Source organism: Homo sapiens, chromosome 6 (genome assembly GCF_000001405.40).
Source record: "Homo sapiens chromosome 6, GRCh38.p14 Primary Assembly".
Classification (NCBI taxonomy): Eukaryota; Metazoa; Chordata; class Mammalia; order Primates; family Hominidae; genus Homo; species Homo sapiens.
In genome coordinates this window covers 411572-437960 of record NC_000006.12, presented here as the reverse complement: position 1 = coordinate 437960, position 26389 = coordinate 411572, and the positions used below count along the sequence as shown (strand labels likewise).

Here is a 26389-nt window from a genome sequence, read left to right as displayed (position 1 = left end):
AGCAGGGCCTTGAGACATTTGCACACCCATGTTCATCGCAGCATTACATATTTGCACACCCATGTTCATCGTGGCATTATTCACAAGAGTCAAAAGAAAGCAACCCAAGTGTCCATCAAAAGAAGAATGGACCAGCAAAATGTGGAATGATATGATATGATGGAATGTTACTCAGATGGCAAAAAAAAGGGGATTCTAACACATGCTACAACATGCATGAACCTTGAGGATATTTGCTAAATGGAATAAACAGGTCATAAAAGGAAAAAACACTGTGTGATTCCACTTCTGTGAGGCTCCTACAGCAGTCAATTCGTAGAGACAGAGCAGAATGGTGTCTGCCAGGGGCTGGTGGAAGAGGAATGGGGAATTGGTATTTAATGGAGACAGAGCTTCAGTTTGGGAAGATGAAAACGTCCTAGAGAAGGATGATGGTGATGGTTGCACAACCATGAAAAGGTGCTTGGTGCCACCGACCTCTGCACGTAAAAATGGTTAAAATGGTGCATTTTTATATTATGTGTACATAAAAAAATTGATGTTGGTGCTTCCTTCATCTTTCTATTCCCTGCACCTAGCTGAGACCCCTGGTGCTCTCTCCTGGACTCATTCCAGAGCAGAATGAAACACATTCTCTTGAACATTCACAGTTGTTTCCAGTGAAATTGATTTAGGGAAACAGCCAGATATTACTCAGAGTCCAGTCAGCAGGCGTTGTTTGGTTCAGCACTTGTATGTGGTGGCAAATGGATGCGACTGTTTGCCTGTGAATCCCAGAAACAGAAACTTAGATCTGTGACCACCACACAATGCGTGCCCAGATAGCAGCACAGCTGGCGCAGCAGGCGTCTCCTGGGCCTGGAGCTGGGCACGGAGGCCAAAGGATGTGGACTTTCCATGGGAGCTTCCCAGCTCATGAATGAGATGAGGCTTGGCCTGTCCTGGGAGGGAACTGCGCTGAAGGACGGAACTCAAGAGGATGCCACACGGCGAGGGCAGTGTCACGGCTGCTGATGCGCTGCCCCTGCCAACGCCTCAGAGGAGCCCCTGGACTCGAAATCCTGCCTCTGCAGCTCTGTAGGCCTCCGTCGGTCTATTAATACCTCAACTGATAAAGAAACATTTCTTTCCCATTCCAACACATCCTAATCAAAAACAAATGAGACCAGCTTGCTGGCGGATTGCCTTGTGTTCAGTTCATGCCGGTGGCTCAGACCAGGGAACTGGGGGAAACCACAGTGTTTCTAATAACTGAAGAACTGTGTTTGACCTGGGCGTTTTCCCCGTGAAAGCTGAGTTGATCAAGCCCGCAGAGATGAAAACTGGGCGTCGGTGGAGAGATGAGTCACAGCGCTCCGTCCCTCACGGTGGCCCTCCTGCTGCCCTTCGTGGGCTGCTGCCTCTTCTTGTGTCTTCCTCCACTGCTCAGCTTGCCCATAGGGGTCTCAGGCACCGCAAGGCCGCTTTGTAAAGAATGGATGGAGCATGCACACACAGTGCCCGGCATATTCCTGCTGGGCCGCAGGGTACTGAGCTCCTTCCCTGTACTACTTCCCAGCTCTGCAGTTAGGGTTCTTCTCATTGGAATGGTAAAATGTTTATCCCAAGTGTATGTCATCCAAATGCTCAGTGAAAATAGTCCACCTGAGTTAACCTCTGTCCCCCAAAATGCCACCTTGTATCTCTGATAGAATTCTTGCTCCCTTCCTTTGAGAAGTGGAGCCAGGGGTGGCAGTCCTAGCCCCGTTACCGTGCATTTAATTTTTAAGCACATCTAGCTGAGTCATCCGTGACATCCCAAGCTATTTGTTGGTGCCTGAGAATACAGAATGAGTAAGATGCCGCTCCAGGCCCAGGTGAGAAGTGACACCGTGCTGGCAGCCTTCACAGCCCTCGCTCGCTCTCGGCGCCTCCTCAGCCTTGGTGGCCACTCTGGCTGTGCTTGAGGAGCCCTTCGGCTCGCCGCTGCACTGTGGGAGCCCCTTTCTGGGCTGGCCAAGGCCAGAGCCGGCTCCCTCAGCTTGCGCGGGGAGGTGTGGAAGGAGAGGCGCAGGCGGGAACCCGGACTGTGCGCGGCGCTTGCGGGCCAGCGCGAGTTCCGGGTGGGCGTGGGCTCGGGGGGCCCCGCACTCGGAGTGGCCAGTTGGCCCGCAAGTCCCGGGCAGTGACGGGCTTAGCACCTGGGCCAGCAGCTGCTGTACTCGATTTCTCGCCGGACCTTAGCAGCCTCTCCGCAGGGTAGGGCTCGGGACCTGCAACCAGTCATGCCTGAGCCTCTCCCCAATCCCAGCGGTGGGCTCCTGCACAGCCCGAGCCTCCCGGAGGAGCCCCGCTCCCTGCTCCAGGGCGCCAGTCCCATCGACCGCCCAAGGGCTAAGGAGCGCGGGCGCACAGCACGGAACTGGCAGGCAGCTCCACCTACGGCCTCTCTGAAGGATCCAGTGGGTGAAACCAGCTGGGCTCCTGAGTCTAGTGGGGACTTAGAGAACCTTTATGTCTAGCTAACGGATTGTGAATATACCAATCGGCACTCTGTATCTAGCTCAAGGTTTGTAAATGCACCAATCAGCACTCTGTGTCTAGCTCAGGGTTTATAAATACACCAATCGGCATGCTGTATCTAGCTAATCTAGTGGGGACCTGGAGAACTTTTGTTTCTAGCTCAGGGATTGTAAACGCATCAATCAGCACCCTGTCAAAATGGGCCAATCAGCTCTCTGTAAAATGGACCAATCAGCAGGATATGGCGGGGGAGGAGCAGGGAGAGAGAGCCAGGTAAGGGAATAAAAGCAGGCTGCAGGAACCAAAAGTGGTAACTCACTCGGGGTTGGTTCCACATAGTAGGAAGTTTGTGCTTTCTTTCTTTGCAATAAGTTTTGCTGCTGCTGAGTGTTTGGGTCCCTACTGCTTTTATGAGCTGTAACACTCACCACAAAGGTCTGCAGCTTCATTCCTGAAGTCAGTAAGATCACAAACCCACCAGAGGCACTGCCTTAAGAGCTGTAACGCTCACTGTGAAGGTCTGAAGCTTCATTCTTGAGCCGGCGAAACTGAACTCACCAGAAGAAAGAAACTGGAAACAGGAACATCACTTTTAAGAACTGTGACACTCCTCGCGAGGGTTTGTGGTTTCGTTCTAGAAGTCAGTGATAACCAGGAACCCGCCAATTCTGGACACACAGGTGGAGGGAGGATGCCTGTGTGCCTCCAGGGACTGAGCTGCATCCTAAAATCATGGGCTCCATTGTTCCACAATCTCTGAGAAAGCCTGGGGGCGGGAGGGCCTAAGGAAAATGACCATAGGACTTTGTTTAGCATTCTTGTGTTCAGTGCTGGGGGTGCCTGGCCATAGCTGGAAAACACTTCGCTCCTGCTGTTTTGAAACTTCCCTTGTGCCAAGACAGAAATGCCAAGGGAAGAAAAAACATGAAGCGTGTGGTCCCAGACACAGAAGCCATGTCCATCCCCTCCTCTCTCCCTCCTGTTCCATCCCATGGCTGGTTTTCGTGGCCCTGGGCCCTCGTTCCAGACCTACAGGTACTTGCTGTTCCTCACCTAGGGAACATGCTGTGAAAGGAAACGGGATTATAGGAAAATGAAAGAGAAGGTAGCGAAGATGCTGGCAAGTCAAAAATGTATCAGTGTCTGGGATGGCCTGTGGGGATCAGTGCCTCCCTTTGTCCCGGCAGAGTCGCAGTAGCAGGGCTGAAGCCCAGGCCCGACTTTGCGGCTCACACGCCCTTAGCTTACGCATCTGTGAGCAAAAGCATGCTGGGTCTAGGAGGCACTTTCTAGCCTGGCCTGTGTGGTGCTTAGGGTCCCAGCCATGGCATGCTGAATGTTTGCTTCTCTTTGCTGATCCTTTACTGACCTGAATGAAACGAGGAGACTATAAAAGTTGTCAATTACATCAGCTTCTTTTTTTCTTTTGTTTTTCTTTTTTAAGTTTAATTTTGGCTCTTCTAGGAACGTTATGTACTTGAAAAACAGAATACTATGGCATTCCTCAGTGGGAAAACAACTTTTCTCAGATCCGAAGCTACTAAAATGCCTACTTTTGACGTAGGGTTTTTATTTTTTTTGTTTTTAAAAAGAAAGGTGCAGTAAAATTTATTTTTTATTTATTTATTTATTTTTTCAAACGGTCTTGCTCTGCTGCCCAGGCTGGAGTGCAGGGGTGTGATCTCAGCTCACTGCAGCCTCCACCTCTTGGGTTCAAGCGATTCTCATGCCTCAGCCTTCTGAGTAGCTGGGACTATAGGCATGTACCACCATGCCTGGCTAAGTTTTGTATTTTTTTTTTTTTTTTAGTAGAGACAGGGTCTCACCAGGTTGGCTAGGCTGGTCTCAAACTCCCGACCTCAGGTGATCTGCCCACCTTGGCCTCCCAAAGTGCTGGGATTACAGGCGTGAGCTACCGCACCTGGCCAAATTCACTCTTTCTGGTGTGCAGTGCATCAAATTGGGTAAGCACTACCATAAGCACTACCATAAGCATGGCGCTGAACAGTTGGGTCCCTCCTCATGCTGCCCTGGGGCAGACTCCTCCCACCCTCAGCCCCTGGTATTCCCTGATCTCTCCTCTGTTCTTACTATTTTTTGCCTTTTCCAGAATGTCGTATAAGTGAAACCTACAGTAGGTAGTTTGTTGGGTCTGGCTTCTTCCACTTAAATGCATTGAAAATTAATTCATGCTTATGTGAAGATAAGATTTCATCTTTCTTGGTTAAGGGATGCCTAGTAGCAGAATCTTTTGGTCAGATGGTAAGCATATGTTTAACTGAATAAGAAACCACCAAACTGTTTCCCAAACTGGTTTACCATTTTTCACTTTCGCCAGCAACGCGTATGAGAGTTTTGGTTGTTCCGTGTCCTCTTCAACACTGGGTATTGCCAGATGTTTTCATTCCCGTTTTAGCCATTCTAATAGGACTGCAGAGCCCCTTGTAACTGAATTTGAATTTCTGAAATGATGAATGACATTTAACAGCCTTCCATGCGCCTATCTGCCATCCACATATCTTCCTAGGTGGAGGTTTATTTGCTCACGAAATATTCAAACATGCAGATGTAACAGGTTCTCCTCCGCCCACTCACCACTGATGTCTGGAGGAGGGAGTCTTTGTCTGGCTGTTGGTGTGCAGCATTCCCATGGATGCTCTTGATTATTTGTTACTTATGTCGGTCACCACAAACAATATAGCTTGAGAGGCAGCATGAACATAGAATATTTCTGGAAAAGCACAATGGAAATGGAGATTCCTACCCATCTTCAACATCTGACTGTTTTGGCAGTAGTAGACACTGGGGGCTACTAGGTCGGGGAGAGAGTGGGGTAAGGGTTGAAAACTACTTATTGGGTGAAATGTTCAGTACCTGGGTGATGGGATCCAACGTATCCCAAACCTCAGCATCAGGCAATATACCCATGTAACAAACCTGCACATGCACCCCCTGGCTCTAAAGCAAAAGTTGAAATTATATATACATTGAAAAAAGATGTGGCTCTCCAAGCCCACATCTCCTGATATGCTCCATGAGTTGGCCAAGGCTGCATTGGTTCTGTTGTGTGGCGCTCTGACTTTTCTCCTGTGGTCTTTTTACAGGGTTGGTTGGGATGTGAGTGTAACCTCTGCTGGATGTGGTCACATACAACTGTCTCTTCTCAGTTCTTTGCAAAGCTATGACTGTTCCTGTGAAGGTGTGGTTTGAGGTGGCTGCTGGATTTGACCCTGACTTCAGGAAGTTAAAGGCAGGCGCTTATTCGGAACTCTCCTTTCCCCCACCGCACCACCCTGCGGGAAGGACATGCATTTCTAGTGTTGGCTTCTGCATGGCTGCCTGGGTCATGCGTTTTTGTAGCTCATTAAGGATGACTCACAGGGAAATGAACAGAGGTGGCAGCTCTGCGTGGGTCTGAGGCTAGTTTAGCTTATTTGTCTAGTGAAAGGGGTAAGAAGGCCAATGCCATGGCATTGAAACCAGTGGATACCAAGCAGGTGTCAGCCATCCTCAAAGCACATATTTCCATGAGTATCTAGGAAAAGAGGTGGCATGAATGAACTAAGGGTCTCCTACCACTGGGAAACAAACCTGCCGGAGCCCTCGTGCTGGCGGGCCAACGACATTCTCTCTCTATGGGAGCAGAGCATGTTTTAAAGCTGTTTCAGATGGTGGTGATGCGTCTACCGGAGCAGAGACCCATTTCTTGGTCTAATGTTGTCCCAGCAGAGCTAGAAAGCTTAACTCAATGTCTTACTTTCACAAGACCACATGGCTCCAGGGGCATCCCCAGTCCTCAGAGACATGCCCAGGAGTACATCGACAGATACTCAGTGCACAGGAAGCAGTAATAACAAAACGTGGCAGAGCGGGAGTGTGACACCCACCACTGCCTTTCACCCCATTCGCCTCAGTCCCCCCTTTCTTTCTTCACCTCTTCCATATACTTTTCTTCCCGGGCTGATTTCCTTCTTTATCCTCTGCCTTCTCATTTTTCCCACTGTTATTGGACCTGTTTCATCCTGCCTGTTAGTCTAGCAGTTAGACTGTGTGTCTGCTTCCTCCAGTTGACTGATGGTAAAGAGGGTTGCTGTGCACTGTTGTGAAGGTTTTATGCTGCACAATTCCGAAGCATCATTCACATTGTGGTCGCTGTATGTGTATTTATAAATATATACATATATGTAATACATATACATTTATTAGCACAACTTTCTGATTGTTGGCAATAAAATTGGTTTCAGAAAGAGGTGCCTCTGTCTAATTTGTACAAAGGTACAGTCAGGCTAATGATGGACCACATCTTTTCAAAATATATATAGGCTCTATTTTTCAGAATAGTTTTAGGCGCACAGAAAAATTATGCAGAAAGTACAGGGAGTTCCCAAATGCTGTCTCCCTCACCACCAGGAACCATGTCTTTTTAAACATCAAGCTCCCATATCCAAGCCCAATGTCTGCTACCCAGGAGGTTTTCAATACATGTTTTTTCAAACATCAAATTGTGTTACTCACAACTGATGATCTCTACCAGAATGTGGTCCTGAATTACCCCGATGAAAATCTGAGAAAGGATGTATTTCCTAGAACCCCTAGAAAGAATTTTACCCAATGAATGGCACAACTCTTAATAATAGCAATAGGGTTCAGCATACCTCTGTGTGCCAGGCACCAAGAAAGATGCCTCCTGGGGATCTTGGACTCTATGGGATTATGTAGGCCTCACAGGTTAGTGGAGTAGGTATTTGTACCCTCATTTTTGACTTGAGGAAGCCTGGGTTCCAGCAGGATAGGACGATGTCTAAAGTCACATCCGTAAGCAGGAGCAGCACCAGCATCGGAGCCCAGGCTGTGCTTCCTGACCAGAGGTATGTCCTCATCTTCACAGTTGAACACCATAGCCACTGGCCACATGTGACCATTGAAAATTTGAGGGGGGCTGGTCTGCACCGAGACATGCAGGAAATATGAAATGCACACTGGGGTTAGTGCCAAAAAGAACACTAACTATCTCATTAATCATTGCTTTGATTGAGTACATACATGTTGAAAGGATACTATTAGATTATATAAAATAGATTACTAAAATTAGTAATAATATTAGATTACTATAATAGATTACTAAAATTAATTCCAACTGTTACGTTGTACTCTTTTTGAATGTGGCTACTAAGAAATTCCCAGAAGGGTTCTCATCTGCAGGCTGTATCAAGTTTCTATGGGACACCAACTGCTAGGAGAAACTTAGAGAGAGTTTCCTATTCTGAAAGGGAAGAACATGTCAGGGACGCTGAGGACCTGGGCAGTCTCTGCTCCATCAGCCATCCAGCCCTGGGCAGGTCCCTTTCCCGCATGCTACCTGAGTTTCCCTCTTAAAGAATGTGAAAGACTGGACCGGGTATAAGGCAGGAAGCTCTCTCTGGATGCCTGGTTTTAGGCACCCAAAGAGACATTGTGCCCTGCTTCTTGTCTCTCCTAAGAACACAGCCAGTTACCCTGGTGGTTTGTGGTTTGGAGACATCACTGTCCAGCAGAGAAGACAATGGCTTTCTCAGGGTCTAGAGGAAACTGCTATGATGCTAGTGCTGTTCCCTTAATCCTGAAGGGCACAAAGGCCATGCTTCTCATTCACTGGGGAGACTTGTGGAGGTAAAGGGATCATCAGATGGAGGAGAGTCAACTGGCTTTGGTTCTTAACCATTTTTAGCACAGTGTTCCTCTCTTACTCTTCATTTCTTTCTTGTGGTTTATTTCATCAATGGAGGACCTTGATGTAATTGTTTCCCTGTAATTTGTAGATAATATCTCTCTCACTAAATATAGAACACTGCCTCTATCTGTGCATTTTACAGGGAAGTCGTACCTTGCATGGAAATTAAACAAGAAATTAGAATTACTAATAATGACTTAACGGTTGAATTTAAGATGACTAAATGAAGACAATAACATCATTGGCATAAACATGCAGGGTAACAATTGTACCCATTGCAACATTTCCCTTCGGGTTCCAGCCTCACAGCTTCCAGAGCAGGCACCCTCTGTTTATACAGTACTCTGCCCATTTTTTCAGCTGCCTTGGTGGAAGCCAGTCTCTAGAAAAAGCAAGGTGGTTGCCTCCCTGTGTGCTCTGCTCAGTTAGCGCCTGGAGAATTCTGTTTGATGTTCAACATTTTAGGAGCAGGACACAGGAGTGAAGGCGGCGCTTGCTTCTCTCCTGCAGTGCCACGACTCACTCAATGGAGTCTGCTCATCTTGGGATGAAGGACAGGACCGGAGACGGTCGTCACTCCCACAGTTATACCACTCGACTGGGGTCTCATTTCCACATGACTTCTCTGGTATTAAAGAAATCCTTCTCAAGCCTGGGCAACATGCATGAGAGAAATAATGAAGAGATGAGACACCCGAACTCAGTAGAGATGGTCCAGTGGAACTGTGGGATATTGGCAGAGGGCCAAGGGATACGGGGACGCAGCCTACCGCTTGGGCTACCTTTTACTTTTTCAGATTTTATTTTTATTTATTCACGCCTCCCTGCCCCTGAGGAAGTGAAAATGTTGGGTTTCAAGAAAAGAAGGGTCAGCAGGAGCAGGAGAGCGGGGACGCATGTTTGAAGGGCTGCCGTGCCGCTGCCTCCCATCGAGCCACTTCCTAACCAGTGCAGCAGGTGTCTCGGCAGGTAGAGGGCTCGAGACTGTGCTGCTGCTTGGACCCATTAGAGATTCCACGGGTGCCATGTCTGGACAACTGAGGTCTCCTTGGGCCCTCTCCTGTCAGGCCTGCAGGGCCTGCAGTAAGGTGCTTTCACCTCCCACAGCTTCCAGGGACTCGTGATTCATGGGCATGAGGGCAGTGGGCATTTACCCTGGCTATGCAGCAAAGTGGTCCCTAAAAAACAACTCTTGCCCCAAGATGGGGGCAGAGACATGCACATGAGCCCGCTGGGCATCTTCCCCACTGAGAGCAGCTGCACATGTGTGGCCACGTCCCTGTGCGTTGGTGCTCCTTCTCCCATGCTGAATATGGCTGCCGTTTATTGAGCGCCTTCTGTGTGTTGGGCAGTGTGGGAGGGGCTTCCTGTTTTTTTCTTGGCTAAGCCTGTAGCAGGGCATCCTGGTTCTGCAGAGGAAACCCTGCACACACTAGCCGAGACTCTGTCCTGCCACCCCTCTCCAACTGGGACAAATGCAGCTCTTTCCACCCCACTGTCCCGGGAGGCAGAGGCAGTCCTCATGGAAGCAAACACGCCTGCACTCCAACCCTCAGCTGCTCCTTCTTCAAATGTGGTGCGCTGGGATGGCAGAGCCATGGCTGTTGCTCAAGAATCGCCTGCCATGCGTAATCAAGGCAAAGAGGCAAGGAGAAGCCTGTTTTGAAAGAAATCTGAAGATGATGGCATGAGACTCCTCAGATCCAGTGTCAGCACTGCGTCTCTTGGTTTGGCCAGGCAGATGCCTGGTGCAGGGAGGGGGAAGCAGGGAGGCTCGGACACCCTCACAGCAAGGAGTGTCCGTGGCTGGAGAGAACCCAGTGGGTTTCCCACCTCCCAAGGCCAGTGTGGTGGGCTGCTCTTTCCCTGCCACAGTCAAAGGAGGGGCGCTCCAAGACACACACACAGAGCCTGCAGACAGCTGCACCCAAGAGGCACGCACTCTCATCTCCCTGGCCCCAATGTCTGAGAAGTGGGGAAAGATGCCTGGAGAGAAGGAAAGGCAGACACAGACAGATGTGGGGCAGCCCCGGTGCGGGGAGGCAAGAGTGGACCCAACAGAAGTGGCCTGGCCTGCCTGAGCTGGCCCACCCCCGGAAAAGTGCCTTGGGCAGGGCCTGCAGGGATGGGACTTCCAAGAGCTCTCCTTCCATCCCTACAAACCACGCTCCTGGGGGACTTTCCCCCTGCCTCACCTAGGACTCATTCACGAGAGCCAGCCTTTGGATACCTCTGCCAGCCAGAGTTGTCCAAGAAAAAGCTGTATTATGATATTACCAGAGAGGGAGAGACCTCAGTTCCTCTCCATCTCTGCTGTCCTTCTTTCTCACCCTAGTAGCCCCAAGCTGCTAAGACCAAAGGTGGAAGGAATGGGGAGCAGAAGAGCAAATCAAACCCACCCAGGGTGTGCTGATGCATGGCTTGCAAGCCGCATGGAGGAGGGGGTGGAGCAAGCCTTGATGTGCAGTCTCTGCCCATCCCTGTGGTGTAAATACTCCCACCAGCTTCAAGCTCCCAGCCTGATGCCTCTGAACGCAGGGCTGGAAAAGTCTGCACTTCAGCACACCCTTCACCCCACAGAGGCAATACACACAAACCGCCTCTAAAGAAGAGATGCTAGTAAATGCAGTTGAGAAATCAGGAAGTAATGAGTAGTTGGAGTATGGATTACCTTTGTTGCTAATATAATTCATTAGAAGTTTATGTATTTTTTATGGTGGCTCTGTTGAAAAACAGCAGAGAAGCAGACACTTGGCTCTGGCCCCTGGGGCCTGGCCCCCCCACCCCAGGCCTGCCTTGGCAGAAGCAGGGCAGGAGGCAGAGATGCCCAGTGAGGGGCGCTTGCATTTGGCCAGATTCCTCCCCCTGTGCCTTTGCATCCGCACACAGAGTGCAGAGCCCAGGGCTGCTCCTAGGCCTTTGACTGGCAGGAAGCCGTGCTGTGCAGCCTCTTTTTCTCCTGCCTGCAAGTAGTCTGCGTGACACTGAGACGTGACAGCATACTGGCAGTCCTCACAGCCCTCACTCGCTCTCGGCGCCTCCTCTGCCTGGGCTCCCACTTTGGCGGCACTTGAGGAGCCCTTCAGCCCACCACTGCACTGTGGGAGCCCCTTTCTGGGCTGGTCAAGGCCGGAGCCGGCTCCCTCAGCTTACAGGGAGGTGTGGAGGGAGAGGCGCCAGCGGAACCCGGGCTGCGCGCGGCGCTTGCGGGCCAGCGCGAGTTCCGGGTGGGCGTGGGCTTGGCGGGCCCCGCACTCGGAGCATCAGGCCGGCCCTGCAGGCCCCGGGCAATGAGGGGCTTAGCACCCGGGCCAGCGGCTGCGGAGGGTGTACTGGGTCCCCCAGCAGTGACAAACCACCGGCGCTGCACTCGATTTCTCGCCGGGCCTTAGCTGCCTTCCCGCGGGACAGGGCTCGGGATCTGCAGCCCGCCATGCCTGAGTCTCCCACCCTCTCCGTGGGCTCCAGTGCGGCCCGAGCTTCCCCGATGAGCGCCGCCCCGTGCTCCACGGCGCCCAGTCCCATCGACCACCCAGGGGCTGAGGAGTGCCGGCTCACAGCGCGGGATTGGCAAGCAGCTCCGCCTGCAGCCCCGGTGCGGGATCCACTGGGTGAAGCCAGCTGGGCTCCTGAGTCTAGTGGGGACGTGGAGAACCTTTATGTCTAGCTAAGGGATTGTAAACACACCAATCGGCACTCTGTATCTAGCTCAAGGTTTGTAAACACACCAGTCCGCACCCTGTGTCTAGCTCAGGGTTTGTGAATGCACCAATCGACACTCTGTATCTAGCTCAAGGTTTGTAAACACATCAGTCAGCACCCTGTGTCTAGCTCGGGGTTTGTGAATGCACCAATCGACACTCTGTATCTAGTTACTCTGGTGGGGCCTTAGAGAACCTTTGTGTGGACACCGTATCTAGCTAATCTGGTGGGGCCTTGGAGAACCTTTACGTCTAGCTCAGGGATTGTAAATACACCAATCGGCACTCTGTATCTAGCTGCTCTGGTGGGGCCTTGGAGAACTTTTATGTCTAGCTTGGGGGTTGTAAACGCACCAATCAGCGCCCTGTCAAAACAGACCATTCAGCTCTACCAATCAGCAGGATGTGGGTGGGGCCAGATAAGAGAATAAAAGCAGGCTGCCTGAGTCAGCGGCGACAACTCCTTCGGGTCACGTTCTGCATTGTGGAACCTTTGTTCTTTTTCTCTTTGCAATAAATCTTGCTTACTGCTCACTCTTATGGGTCCACACTGGTTTTATTAACTGTAACACTTATCTTGAAGGTCTGCAGCTTCATTTCTGAAGCCAATGAGACAATAACCCTACTGAGAGGGATCGAACAACTCCTGAAGTGCAGCTTTAAGAGTTGCAACACTCGCACTAAAGGTCTGCAGCTTCACTCTTGAGCCAGTGAGACCACAAACCCACCACAAGGAAGAAACCGAATGCATCCGATACATCAGAAGCAACAGACTCTGGACATGCTGACGTTAAGAACTGTAACACTCACCGTGAGGGCCTGTGGCTTCATTCTTGAAGTCAGTGAGAGCAGGAACTCAAATTCCAGACACAATACTTGGAGCTCTGGAGCTGCCTGGCGGAGGCACACCAGGGAGTCTCAGGTTTTGACAGTTTCACTTGTTTCCTAACAAGCCTCAGCGGGGTTCTGCCCAGGACCGCTGCCTTGGGACCCCCAGATCCCTGCTCCAGTTTCTCTGCAGCTAGCTTTGGTTCTTCTGCAGGTCTCTGCATTCCTCCTCCCTGGCCACGGCTCCCTTCTGCCCTGCTGTGCCCGCTTTTCGCCTTTGGGTGCGCAGGTTTCCTGCGGTGCTGGTTGGAAACGCGGAGTAGGCCCCAGAGCTGTCTGCAGAGGGAGCCTGGCCCCTTCCTCTGTCCCAGGAGGAGGCCCTGACACCCAGGCGCCAGGCCCAGCACGGGAAGGGTAACGCAGAAAGGAAGGCCCGGCGGGGGGCTCCGTCGGCGGGGAGGGCGGGAAGGCCCGGCGGGGGGCTCCGTCGGCGGGGAGGGCGGGAAGGCCCGGCGGGGGGCTCCGTCGGCGGGGAGGGCGGGAAGGCCCCGCGGGGGGCTCCGTCGGCGGGGAGGGCGGGAAGGCCCGGCGGGGGGCTCCGTCGGCGGGGAGGGCGGGAAGGCCCGGCGGGGGGCTCCGTCGGCGGGGAGGGCGGGAAGGCCCGGCGGGGGGCTCCGTCGGCGGGGAGGGCGGGAAGGCCCCGCGGGGGGCTCCGTCGGCGGGGAGGGCGGGAAGGCCCGGCGGGGGGCTCCGTCGGCGGGGAGGGCGGGAAGGCCCGGCGGGGGGCTCCGTCGGCGGGGAGGGCGGGAAGGCCCGGCGGGGGGCTCCGTCGGCGGGGAGGGCGGGAAGGCCCGGCGGGGGGCTCCGTCGGCGGGGAGGGCGGGAAGGCCCGGCGGGGGGCTTCCTCGGCGGGGAGGGCGGGACAGTCCGGTCCAGAGCTCAGCAGCGCCCGCGGCGGCCTGGAAAGGACCTTGCGGACTGGAGAGCCGAGGCCTAGCGCCGCATGGTTGGAGGTGTGCTTTTCCCCTGGCCGGAAGTTGTGCTTTCGCTGCTGGTGTCGGCTTCCCATCGCGAAGCAGTTCTCCATTGGTTCGGACTGGCGGGGCTGTTGTGCTGGGCTGGCCGGGAAGGGCTGGCTCGGGGCCCGCAGGAGCCAGGCCACAAGGAGACGGCCCTGGGAAGCCTTCCCTGTGCCCTGTTCAGGACAGGCGAGCAAAGTCACCTGCAAGTCCTTACCGATCCTCTTCCCCAGCAGGGCCCAGCACCTCCTGCCCTCTTCCCGGGCACCCACGGGCTCCTGGAGGTGGTCCCAGCCAGCACGGGCCCCGCGGCCACGCGTCTCACGGCACTGGGAGCCTCTGCAGCCCCCGCCGCACCCCAAGCCTTGCCCTGAGGCCCCCTCCGCCCACACCCCACCTCTTTCCCCGCGGCCACACCCATCTTTCAGGGGTTTCTCCTTCAAACTCCAGGACAAAAACAGCCGTCCCAAATGTTGGGGACCTACCCAGGTCTCAGGCAGACTCTGCTAGCACTAACGTGCTTCCATTCTCTACCTTGTTCCATAGCTGAGTTTTTCTTCTGCGCTCCAAAGGGACTTTGTGAGGGCTCCCTGCCTCCATCCTACAGAGGAGGTGGCATCCTGTGCCACACATGGTCTCTCTTTGGAGGCTGAAGAAAGTCTGGGATCAAGAGTAAGAGGCACAAGGGCTCCCTGCTCCTCACCCAGAGTGTCTTGAACAGAGCAGTGGGAGAGCAGGGACTCCGTCCAGGCAGGCAGGCCACAAGCCCATGGAAGCCCCATGGCCCCTCCACTCACCTTCCTCTTCTGGCTGTGGTCACTGGTGAGGGGAGACATGAACTAGCGCCTGATTCCAGGTGGAAGGAACCAGGTAGAAGGGGAGGGACAGCCTCCCAGCACAGAGGAGACTAAGAACAAAGTGACCAGCCGGCCAGGTCCAGGTTGGCTGCATGTGGCCAGGCAGCTCACGCTGAGAGGGGACGTCACTCCATCTCTCATTCTGCTTATTCTCTCCTTTAGACGGTTAAAATCTATTTTTAAAATTTTCAACCTAAACATCTTTTAAAGTTCAATGTTTTGTATCATGACCTGGGTCCTAAATGTCAAAAAAAAAAAAAAAAAAAAAAAAAAAACCCTGAATTTTGTTTTGCCATTGCTTATGAACATGAGGGAAAGCAGGCCTCTTGGTTGTTTCATGAACCTTTAAAACATTGAGCAAAAGTTATGTGGTCACAAAATCACACGGTGGTGAGTAAGCTCCGGTGCGAGGTCACCCAAGCAAACATAGCCACGGGGATGACTAAAATGTTCAGGCACCTCTGAAGTGAGTGTCTCAGCTTCAGTTGTTTGCATTTCTTGGCTCTTTTTTTTTTTGCCAGGAAAAGACTCCAACATGTAATCATTTACAGAGAAGAGTCATGTTTCAGCAACATGGAAAAAATGTAAATCAATCTATGAGACTGACCATGGACAAGGACTTTATGTTCCTTATCCAGAAGGAAGGCAGAATTTTCCAACAAAGCTGTGAAATTGTAGGAAAGCATCCAGTCACCAGGTTTCAGAGAGATTTGCTTGTTGGAGATTTATGGCCGATCAGAGAAAACGGTTGGTCAGAGAAAGAGGAAACCCCTCCTTCCAGTCTATAACTTGACCTACTGATTAAAGTTACAGGGTAAAAATGAAGATCTCCCCTGAAGTCAATAATCAATCAAGTAATTAATTCTTAATTGATTAAATTTTCTGTTCATCTGATAAGCATGAGGCCCCAAAAGCAGATGCTAGGCACCATGGGAGACAGATGGGAATTTGGTGTCTCTCTAAGGAGTAGTACTACACCTGCCACGGGTTTCGGAATCCAGAGGACTTCAGATGCATCTAAAGGCATTTTAATTCTTATTAATTATTTAAAAAAGATGTTGGAAAATAGATATATCATTGGCCCATCAAACTTGTGGCTTTTACACGTTTTATTGCTCAACATGGTGCTAAAGTAGATATTTAACTTTAGGCCAGGCACAATGGCTCATGCCTGTAATCCTAGCACTTTGGGAGGCTGAGATGAGCAGATCACCTGAGGTCAGGAGTTTGAGACCAGCCTGGCCAACATAGTGAGACCCCATTTCTACTAAAATAACAAATATTAGCCAGGTGTGGTGGCACATGCCTATAGTCCCAGCTACTTGGGAGGCTGAGGCAGGAGAATTGCTTGAACCCAGGAGGCAGAGGTTGCAGTGACCCAAGATGGTGCCATGGCACTCCAGCCTGGGTGACAGAGTAAGACTTCGTCTAAAGAAAAATGTTTAAAACCAACAGTTTTAAGAAAATAGCAATACTTTTAAAAGTATTTTAAGAAGTAATGTTTTAAATAGATAACAGATACTAAATGCATAATAGTCATATTTTTAAATTAAATAATGTTTAAATAAATAATCAAAAGTTTGAAGGCAGTGTAAATAGGACTAAAATTTAGGAAACACTGAGGTAAGAAGGTACTGCCCTACTCTCAAAGGAGCTTCTAATGAATACCAAGTTAGTAATAGCTGCTGTGCTTTAAATGTGTCCCCCAAATTTCATGTGTTGAAAACTTAACCCCCACATTGATTTGCTGATGATATTTGGAGGTAGGGCCTTTGGGAGGTAATGAGGATTAGATAAGGTCATGAGGGTGCGGCCCCCATGATGGGACTGGTGGCTTCCTAAGGAGAGGAAGAGAAACCTGAGCTGGCGTGCCCATGCCCTCTGGCCATGCGACACCCTCAGCCATGCGACGTTATGATGCAGCAAGGAGGTCCTTACCAGGTACCAGTGCCATGCTCTTGGACTTCCCAGCCTCCAGAATCATAATAATACATACTTTTCTTTGTAAATTACCCACTCTATGGTATTCCATTATAGCAACAGGCAACAGACTAAGACAATTCGCCAATATTTACATAGGATTAACTGTGCCCCAGCTATTACTCTTAGCACTTTATCACTAATCCCGACAACTACCCTATGAAATAGGTGTCCTGTTTCATAGAAGAAACTAAAGCACAGAGAGTTTTATAGGATGAAGATGGAGCACCTGGGTAGGACCAGCCAGGATGATATCCTTTCACCAACACTTGCTGACCATGGGACCCTCTCAAGATCCTCCCTGTGCTCTGTGCCCCCATCTGTAAGGTGAGAAATGAAATGCCTGTCTCCCAGGATTACTTCAAGGATTACAGGAGTTGACACATGGCAGTGCACTTAGCACCTAATAAATGTTAATTAGACCTTTATGCTTAATCCCAAACTCTTGGTTCTTCTCCTTTCTTTGTGGAACAGGCTGTTCTCTCTGCTCCCATTCTCTTTCCCCACCTAAAGAAATTGGCTCCCATCTGTGGGATACCAAGCATCTTAGAAAGTCTGGGTGTGATGCTGGAGGGCTGCTCACCAGTGGTGTGGATACAGGTACACCGTGCCACCTCTCTGACTCTTGGTACGTCAATGGTGGAAGGGAAGGCAGGCTGGCATCAGAATTAAGAGATAAGGCTATGAAACCACAAAGGCCTGGATTTGAATCCTGGCTTCCTCTTTTAGTAGTTGTATATTAGGGTACTGGCTTTACACTCCTGGGCCTCAGTTTCTCACCTTAAAAATGGAGAATGAAAATATTTCCTTCTCGGAAATGCCCTGCCCGTAGCGTCTGTCTCAGTGCTTGCTGGCCTCCTGCACCCACACAGAAGCTGTGCGATTACAGCTGGCTATCCCTGGAAAGCAGGGAGGGTCAGGAACATGGGGAGTCTTCAGAAGATGTTTGTGGAATGAATCCTTTTTAAAAAAATCAATGTTCTTCAGAAAATAACAAGTGTTGGTGAGGATGTGGGGAAACTGGAATCCTTGTGCATTGCTGGTGGGAATGTAAAATGATGCAGCCACTGTGGTAAACAGTACAGTGGTACCTTTAAAATATTAATTATAGAATTTTCATCGCTCCAGCAGTTCCACTTCTGGGTATACACATGAAAGAATTGAAAGCAGGGTCTTGAAGACCCATTTGTCCACCCATGTCCACAACAGCGTTATTCACAGTAGCTAAAACACGGAAGCAACTCAAGTGTTCAGGACAGATAAATGAACAAAATATGGTCCACCCATGCAATGGAATATGATTTAGCCTTAGAAAGAAAGGAAATTCTGACACGTGCTGCAACATGAACGAACCTGGAGGACATCAAGCTCAGTGAAATAAGCCAGACACAGAAGGACAAATACTGCAGGATTCCACGCATACAAGGTATCCAGAGTAGTCAGTTTCATAGAGATAGAAAGTAGAATGGTGGGGGCTGGGGGCAAAGGGGCCAGGGAATGGGGAGATAGTGTGGGATGGAGACAGGGTTTCAATTTGGGAAGATGAGAAAGTCCTGCAGACAGATGCTGGATATGGCTGCACAGCAATGTGAATTACTTAATGCCACTGAACTGTATACCTAAACATGGTTAAGATGGTAAATTTTATGTTATGCATATTTTCCACAAATAAAAAAGAAGAATCAATGTTCTTATCCTTCCTGTTTCCAGGCAACCCCAAATGCTGACATTAGCGTGAGGGGAAACAGCAGGGCCAAAGGCAAAGAGTCAGTCCCTAGCTGTACAGAGACTGTGATGACTGAGGAAGGGCAGAGACTCAGGAGGGTCCCAGAATGGGGGTGAGAGTGAGAGGGAGGTTCTCACATGGGGGTTGGAGGTGAGGAAAGGAGATCCCACAATGGGGGTGCTAGGGATGGAGGGAGATCCCCACATGGGGGTGGGAGGGGGGAAGGGAGGTCCTGAGTTGGGGGTGCTAGTGGGGGAGGGAAGGGAAATCCCATATTGGGGTGCTAGTGGGGGATGGAGGTCACACATTGGGGTGCTGGTGGGGGAGGGAGGTCCCGCATGGGGGTGCTGGTGGGGGAGGGAGGTCCCGCATGGGGGTGCTGGTGGGGGATGGAGGTCCCGCATGGGGGTGCTGGTGGGGGAGGGAGGTCCCGCATGGGGGTGCTGGTGGGGGAGGGAGGTCCCGCATGGGGGTGCTGGTGGGGGATGGAGGTCCCGCATGGGGGTGCTGGTGGGGGAGGGAGGTCCCGCATGGGGGTGCTGGTGGGGGATGGAGGTCCCGCATGGGTTGCTGGTGGGGGTTGGAGGTCCCACATGGGGGTGCTGGTGGGGGAGAGAGGTCCCGCATGGGGGTGCTGGTGGGGGAGGGAGGTCCCGCTTGGGTTGGGGATGAGAACGGGTGGCCGAGGGAGTTTCCGCATGGGGGAGTGGGGGTGCCAGAGGGAAGTTCACAGGCTGGGGGTCCCTGCATGGAGGCAGCTGCAGCCAGAAAGCTGAGAGAGCGTTCATCCTCAGTGTCATAGCTCAGAGGACAAAGAAGCATCTTGGGAAAGATGAGGTGGGGGAAAGCATATCAAGGGGAAATGGTAGGAAAAGAAATTAATGGAGGCAGGACTGGGAGATGGGCCCTGAGACCCTGAGCCCCTGGTCCCTTCACCTCAGAGCTGGTCCCACCCCCAGAGCTCTGGGGACCCCACAAGGCAGCTTGAGAAACTGGAAGCCCACCAAAAAATATAAAGGGACGTATCAACTTAGAAAGATTACATTTGTGCTTTTCTCCCTTTCTAGTAACAAAATATGTGGTCTCAGGAGAAACTTTGAAAAGTACAAAAAAGCACACAAGAAAATAAAAAATTTCCATGACCCCACATCTCAGGGGTATAATTTACACTGTTGAATGTTCTTTTTAAAAAATTCTATGTATGAGCTCCATGAAATTTTAAAAAGATATCACATTGTTTTGAAACCTGTTTCTTTTTACTTTACAAAGTAACAACCATTTCCCCATGCCATGAAATACTTGTATACTGCACAATTTGTAAGTGGTTCTATAGCATTTCATGCCATAGGTGGCTCATCACTTGGCCAGCATCCTATTGGACACTGTTGGACATGGTAGACATCTAGGTTCGCCAACTGTGTCATTTCCTGAGGATTCGATGGTGCTGACTATAAGCCAGGTGCTGCACCAGTACTGGGTGTTTACTGGAAAGCACAGTTCCCTTCCTCAAGGAATTTATAGTACAGAAGACAAATTAATAAACAGACAATTACAATAAAGAATGGGCAGTGTTATGCTGCGGACATGGTGCGTAGAAATCTAAGTCCAGAGCCAAAGTTTTTAAGACATGTAGTTCATATTTTCTTTAACAATATAATTGTTAATTTTAAGCTCATATTCCACTAGGGTGATGCAAATTCAAGTTCAGTTCACTTTGGATCCCTCTCCTCCCTCTCCTCCCTCTCCTCCCTCTCCTTCCCTTGAACTGGGGCTAAGTTTGGCATAGCTCCCACAGAGCCAGAGCCTGTGCTGGTGGGCAGGGGATCTTGTCCTCAATGCAGTTTCTGCTCAGACACACCCAGGCATGCCCACTCTTTGGCCCCATAGTCATCGATCCACGCCGGTTACCATGGAGTTATCCTTCAGTCCTGCCCACCTGGCCCCTTCGTAACCTGCGGTTCTCACTGCTCCTTCCCACAAACTTTTCTCAAGTTTGCTGTCTCATCAAAGTTTTTCCCAGGAGGCAGAAGATCGTTCCCCTTTATCAGGGAGTGGCTGAAGTCTAAACACTCATTTCTTCCTTTCTCAGCGAGCACTCGCTCTCCCTTCCTCAACCCTCAGCATTTTGCTTTAGTCTCAAGTAGGAGGCCAGGAGGGAAAAGGAGCTTTTCTCACATTCCCAGCCAGTTTGAGTCCTGAGCACCAGTGACCCAGCTGCTTGGAGAGTAAGGAAAGGGGAATGACATAGTGGGGCAAAGTGTTTCTCAAGACAAATATCACACTTTGGAGACCCAAACAGAGGGTGGAATAAGGGAAGCAATGCCTGCAGAAGGGGAGTGTGCCACAGCCAAGACCTGTGGGCGCAGACTAGCCAGGGGAGCAGAGGCAGAGGGCAGAGGGAAGAGAAGGAAGGAGTCTTTGAGGACTCCCTAAGGACAGACATTTTGCCAACACACTACCAGTGTGGCAGGAGGAGGGGTCACTGAAAAGGCCGGGTTGCCTTCAAACACCATATAATTCATAATGCTACACTGAAACAGAGAATATATGTCTGCCTGTGTTAATTTAGGTATAGCCTGTCCAGAGCTCCTTTGCAGAGAGATGAGACAGGACCCAACGTGTCTTTCTGGCCTAGGGGAGTACTGGTGGCACACTGCAACAAGCGTGTTTGTCAGGTGATCATTGTTTTTAGGAAATCAAATCCAATACAGCCAAACTTGTGCTGCAGTTACAGAACAGTTTACGAGAATAAACACTGGTACCTTAGAGATACATAAAATTACTTCAGAGCAATCTCAAGGGCTCAAAACCCTTTGGAATACCCTTTTAGATATAACCAGTTGATATATTATTTGAAGAAAAACTTGCCTATGCATGTATACTGACTTGAGTCCACCTGTATTTGTTGAGCAAATGGAGCCCCAAGAAGAAGAAAGATTGTTTATTTGTCCATTATTTCTATTTCGTTATGAAGGAAACCAAAATACTTCTTCCAAAAATATTGAGGATTATTAAGTTAAACACACTGAAAATGCAAGGAAACACTCTGCCCCACCTCTATTTGCCTGATGTCAGGACATAAATCCTTCCTTACTAGAAATTGGCCCAGAGAAGGCATCAGCAAGCACCAGAACAATCTGGGAACAAGGTTTACTATCTTCCCACATTTTCCCAGTTTTTAAAAGACTGGAACTGCCCCCTCCTTTGCTTTGTCTCTATGCTAAGATTTATTGTTTTTTGTTAAAATACTACTTAAGAAAGATTCCTCATCTACTCTGCCCTGGGAGAGAAATACATTTGAACTGAGGCCTTCTTCTAGGTGATGGGTACAATATTCATCAATAAACTTCTTCTGGCTTTTCTCTTGTTAATCTTTTTTTTTTCAGGAAAGTGTCTCAGGTAAGAAAATATGAGGATTGAGAAAATAAATCATATTTTCTTTCCTTCAATTTGACAACCACAAAGGCACACTTTGCTCACACTAGGGCCAATGGATGGAGCTCTGAGAGATCTGAAAGAAACCAGCAGAAAAGGGTAAGGTTTCTTACCAACGTCAGCTCTTCACATCTCTATTTTTAGTGCTCAGTTGAGAGGGGAGGGTAAGAGTTTTTTCTTTTTTCCTTCATTTCCAAATTTAAATAGGAGAAAATTATTTGTATAAATTGGCTCTTGGATATAGTGACTCTGGTGTTTTTATTTTGGCTTATTGGTTTACATCACTTTGAAATAAATTAGACTGGCTATATTTAAAATAAATTTCTTTTAGAGAAGTTCACTTTTCAAATGCCTGTAAGTCATTGCAAGATTGACAAAACACTCTTCAGCCTAATTCTCTAAGCCTTTCTCAGCCCATGGAAGATGTTAATCTTACCATGTTTTTGAAATGTTATTCAGGGAATTAATTAAGCAGCATTCAAGCAGAGATTGGATTTGACACAGAGTTAAATAAAGTTCTTTAGACCCACCACCAAATTGATTTCCTTAGTAAATACCTTAGCTTGGGAGAGAAACATTTATACAAATTAGTGTAAATGCCTTGTTTTTAATTATTTATATGAGTCTTGACTTTTTGTGGTACCCATTGGTAATCCTTTCTACTACCATGAACAGCTTTTGATTTCCTCTCTTACAGACTGTCTTTTTTTATTCTTCTATCTATGGACACATGGGGTTGTAAGGCCTTTGTGTACTTTGTCAGATGAGAACCTGAGACCCTAGATAGAGGTGCTAGTGAAATTTTCCTTTCTTTATCACATGACCAGGCTGCAAATTTTTCAAACTTTTATGCTCTGCTTCCATTTTAAATATAAGTTCCAGTTTCAGGTTATTTCTTTGTTCACACATATAAGCATAAGCTGTTAGAAGCAGCCAGGTCACATCTTAAACACTTCACTGCTTAGAAGTTTCTTCTGCCAAATACCCTAAATCATTGCTCCCAAGTTCAAAGTTCCACAAATCTTTAGAGTAGAGGCTCTTTGCTAATGCGTAACGAAAGCGACCATTACTCCAGTTCCCAATAAGTTCCTCATTTCCATCTGAGACCTCCTCAGCCTGGCCTTCATTGTCTATATCACTATCAGCATTTTGGTCACAATCATTCAGCAAGTCCTTCGGGAGTTCCAAATTTTCCCTTATCTTCCTGTCTTCTTCTGAGCCTCCACACTCTTCCAATCTCTGTCTGTTATCCAGTTCCAAACCCACTTCCACATTTTCAGGTATCTTTATCACAATATCCCACTACTGGTACCAATTTTCTATATTACTCCATTCTTGCACTTCATAAATAAATACCTGAGACTGGGTAATTTATAAAGAAAAGAGGTTTAATTAGCTCACAGTTCTGCCAGCTGTACAGGAAGCATGGCAGCATCTGCTTGGCTTCTGGGAAGGCCTCAGTAAACATACAATCATAGTGGATGGTGAAGGGGAACCAAGCATATCTTATATGGCAGGAGCAGAAGGAGGAAGTGGGGGAGGTGCTACACACTTTTAAATAACCAGATCTTGAGAGCACTCACTCACCATCATGAGAGCAGTACTGAGAGGATGGTGCTAAACCACTCATGAGGGACCACCCCAATGATCCAGTCACCTTCTACCAGGCCTCTCCTCTGGCATTGGGGATTACATTTCAACATGAGATTTGGGTGGGGACTCAGATCCAAACTATATCATATGGATATGTTATTAATATGTGTTCTAAAATTGTATGAGATTCCTAAAAATCTGATATGTTTTGGTAATGTTGTCAGTTATAATTATGGGTATTATGTTAAATTGTTGTAAGCCACAGAAAGTAACCAAATTTCCATGTCAATTGTGTCTTTAACTATGTCCATTTTAAGTCTTGTTATCTGCTATTAATTGCTTTATTATGATACTTTTTCTAAAAGCTCTTTGCAGATCCTAAAGTGTTATGTCTTCAAGAAGGTTCATAGAAAGGACTGAAAGAAGTACTCTTGAATACAGGTTCCTGACAACTTTGAGACCATATTATTGGAGTCATTAAAAATTTCCAGAATGCTAATGAAAAAAAAACTGGACTCATAAAATTAGTAACCCCAAATCAAGCAAAACAAGAATTACACGAAACTAAACCAAGGAAGGACTAAAATGATTTTTTGCAACATTTTTTGTTTAAAGCATTGCTGATTCTTTTTATGTTTTCTTTCCATAGTTGAGAAAACTTTTTTTCCCTCTTAAGTAATCTACAGCTTTACAGTAATTTTGTAAAGTATATTTTTGTGCACAAATATTGAAACATTTATCTTTTTCTTTACCTGAGCCCTCCAGGATTTAGAAACTGTATGTGAGAAATTCTATTTTTATGGCAAGATAGTTATTTGCATAAGTTCACTAGGAATCTGCTCTCTTCGGACTGGAAAAATTGGAAACACAGGTTATATCATCAAGGCTATGACTGGGACGTCATTTTTTCAGATGTGACCAGACTGCTTAAAGGAATGAACGTTAACTTTAAGGAGCCAATAAAACCCTTGAAAGAACTGGCCTGGCACTTTGTTCCTGAACTATGCGGTGCCCTTCCAGCACTTCTAGCCTTGCAGTAAGTAAATAATGTCATTTTCTGACAAGCCCAGGAACCTCAAAACATTTTGGAGACCTCAAGAAAAAAATTTACCCAGGTATCTCAGATAAAATCTGTTGGTAAGTCTGTGGCACGGCTTCCTAGTCTGAAGAGGGTTTTAGTGTTCTAATCTAATAAAATTCTTTACGAAAAGTTCCAGCAACGCTGACTTAAAAAGAGCTTATATGTTAAATCACTGTTCTTGCTGTACTTATGTAAATGATCCGGTTAAATATAATGACACTAAACTTGTTTTGTAAGTAAACTGGACTTATTGTGATTATCTTTGGTAAACAGGGAGGTGACTGTAGAGAGAAAAAATGTTTCAGAACAGCTATAGCATAGCTGTTATTAGATTCTAGCCCTGTCCATTGTTTTAGAGTTTTTAAAAATTATCTGGACTGAATCCTGAAGTTTTAGTTTCCTCTAATATCTGCTATGGCTCTTCAGACTAACATTCCCAACTTTCTCCCACCTTTCTGACTTGAAATCACTAGGAATTAAAACCGTGCCTTTCCTGAAGCCCTGCAAATGAAAGCTGAACAACTTGATATAAACTTTGGAGAAGTCATCACAATTTATTTATGGACAAAAACTTCACTGGAACGTCTGATGCAAACTATAATCCAGAAAAATCTGTCAGATTGCCACTGCCTGTCCACTCCAACTTAAAATTATTTGAACCCAAATCTAGAAATCTCAGCTGGTTGCTCTCCAGAAACTAGCTTATAGACTGCTTGAAACATAGACCTTTGTTTTCTTTTTATTTCCATACAAATGTCTCTGATAAAGTACCTGTGTGCCTACACCATATGGAAGACGTAACTCTTATGGAAGCCCACTTACACCACCTCTGAAATGGGATGCAATGATTTAACGGAACTGACCTATTTTCAGGACTGAAAGACTGATACAATAAGAGATGGAACAATGTACCCAAATTGGTTCCTTTCTGCTTGTTCCAAACTATGTTCTCCTCCTCCTTTGCCAAATCTCTTATCTTAAAACTTCTAACCCAAATCTCTCCAAAACTACCAACTTAGCTTTTAACATGTGAAACTTTCTGAAAGTAAAGCTTCAAGGGGGGACTGAAGGAAACCAAAATATTTCTCCCCAAAATATTGAGAATTGTTAAGTTAGGAACACAGAACTCACAGGGAAGCACTCTGCTGAAGCCTGTCTCCTGAGATCAGGACATAAATCCTTCCTTCCTGGGAACAGCGAAGGCAGCAGTGGAATCTGGGAACAGATTTTACTACCTTCTCTCATTTTTGTCCCCTTTTAAAACACTGGAGCTGCTGTCTCCTTTGTCTTATCACTATGCTAAGATTTATTGATCTTTGTTTTCAGGAAAGTTTCTCAACTGAACTTGTGAGGGTTTAGAAAAGAAATTTTACCATTTAGCAAAATCAAAATTATGCTAATCTACTATTCTAGGGGGGGTTCTAGATCCAAACTACAAACTTTTCTGACAGCTCTATGTAACCTTCAGCTGCAAGGATTTTAGCACCAGCAGCTGCAGCCTGGTTCTTTGAGTTTTTCTGCTGGACTGGAAGTTAGTAGGTGCATAGGAGCTGAGCCATGTAATCAGTAGAAGCGATGAAGCTGAGAAAGGAGACTCCCTTGCCTGGCTGCTCAGAGAGAGGAAGAGTTTGGAGCTGAGGTCAACAGCAGACGTACGGATCCCCAGGGGTTCCATCTAAATCCTGTTCTCTTTATCCAGTTTTCCATTTGATTTTCACATTTGGAGTGTTAGTTAACCTATATCCCTTCTTTTTAGCAATGACCAAAATCAGAGGAGCTTCGAATATAAACAAAAGAAAACATTAAAAACAACTTCCTTGAAAGCCCTAAACCTTTTAAAGTACAGATAAAGGAAGAGGAGGCAGATGCTAACGGGAGAGCAGGATGATTACTCTTCACAGACACTCCTCTGTGTGGGAGGAGCAGCCCGGCACTTGGCCAGCGTTTGTCTCTTTAA

The 26389-nt window shown here is 48.2% G+C and overlaps 8 annotated features.

Annotated features, from left to right (window-relative positions):
• Positions 986-1186: a silencer, noted in NCBI's record as "peak5617 fragment used in MPRA reporter construct". NCBI's record gives its function as "represses an SCP1 promoter by STARR-seq MPRAs in K562 erythroleukemia cells {active_cell/tissue: K562}" and the evidence as "EXISTENCE:reporter gene assay evidence [ECO:0000049][PMID:32103011]".
• Positions 2989-3218: an enhancer, noted in NCBI's record as "active region_23853". NCBI's record gives its function as "activates an Ori minimal core promoter by ATAC-STARR-seq in GM12878 lymphoblastoid cells {active_cell/tissue: GM12878}" and the evidence as "EXISTENCE:reporter gene assay evidence [ECO:0000049][PMID:35858748]".
• Positions 3051-3215: a silencer, noted in NCBI's record as "fragment chr6:434746-434910 (GRCh37/hg19 assembly coordinates)". NCBI's record gives its function as "represses an EF-1alpha promoter that drives an FKBP-Casp9 reporter gene in an ReSE screen in K562 erythroleukemia cells {active_cell/tissue: K562}" and the evidence as "EXISTENCE:reporter gene assay evidence [ECO:0000049][PMID:32094911]".
• Positions 24944-24993: an enhancer, noted in NCBI's record as "active region_23852". NCBI's record gives its function as "activates an Ori minimal core promoter by ATAC-STARR-seq in GM12878 lymphoblastoid cells {active_cell/tissue: GM12878}" and the evidence as "EXISTENCE:reporter gene assay evidence [ECO:0000049][PMID:35858748]".
• Positions 25014-25253: an enhancer, noted in NCBI's record as "active region_23851". NCBI's record gives its function as "activates an Ori minimal core promoter by ATAC-STARR-seq in GM12878 lymphoblastoid cells {active_cell/tissue: GM12878}" and the evidence as "EXISTENCE:reporter gene assay evidence [ECO:0000049][PMID:35858748]".
• Positions 25334-25393: an enhancer, noted in NCBI's record as "active region_23850". NCBI's record gives its function as "activates an Ori minimal core promoter by ATAC-STARR-seq in GM12878 lymphoblastoid cells {active_cell/tissue: GM12878}" and the evidence as "EXISTENCE:reporter gene assay evidence [ECO:0000049][PMID:35858748]".
• Positions 25574-25753: an enhancer, noted in NCBI's record as "active region_23849". NCBI's record gives its function as "activates an Ori minimal core promoter by ATAC-STARR-seq in GM12878 lymphoblastoid cells {active_cell/tissue: GM12878}" and the evidence as "EXISTENCE:reporter gene assay evidence [ECO:0000049][PMID:35858748]".
• Positions 26124-26273: an enhancer, noted in NCBI's record as "active region_23848". NCBI's record gives its function as "activates an Ori minimal core promoter by ATAC-STARR-seq in GM12878 lymphoblastoid cells {active_cell/tissue: GM12878}" and the evidence as "EXISTENCE:reporter gene assay evidence [ECO:0000049][PMID:35858748]".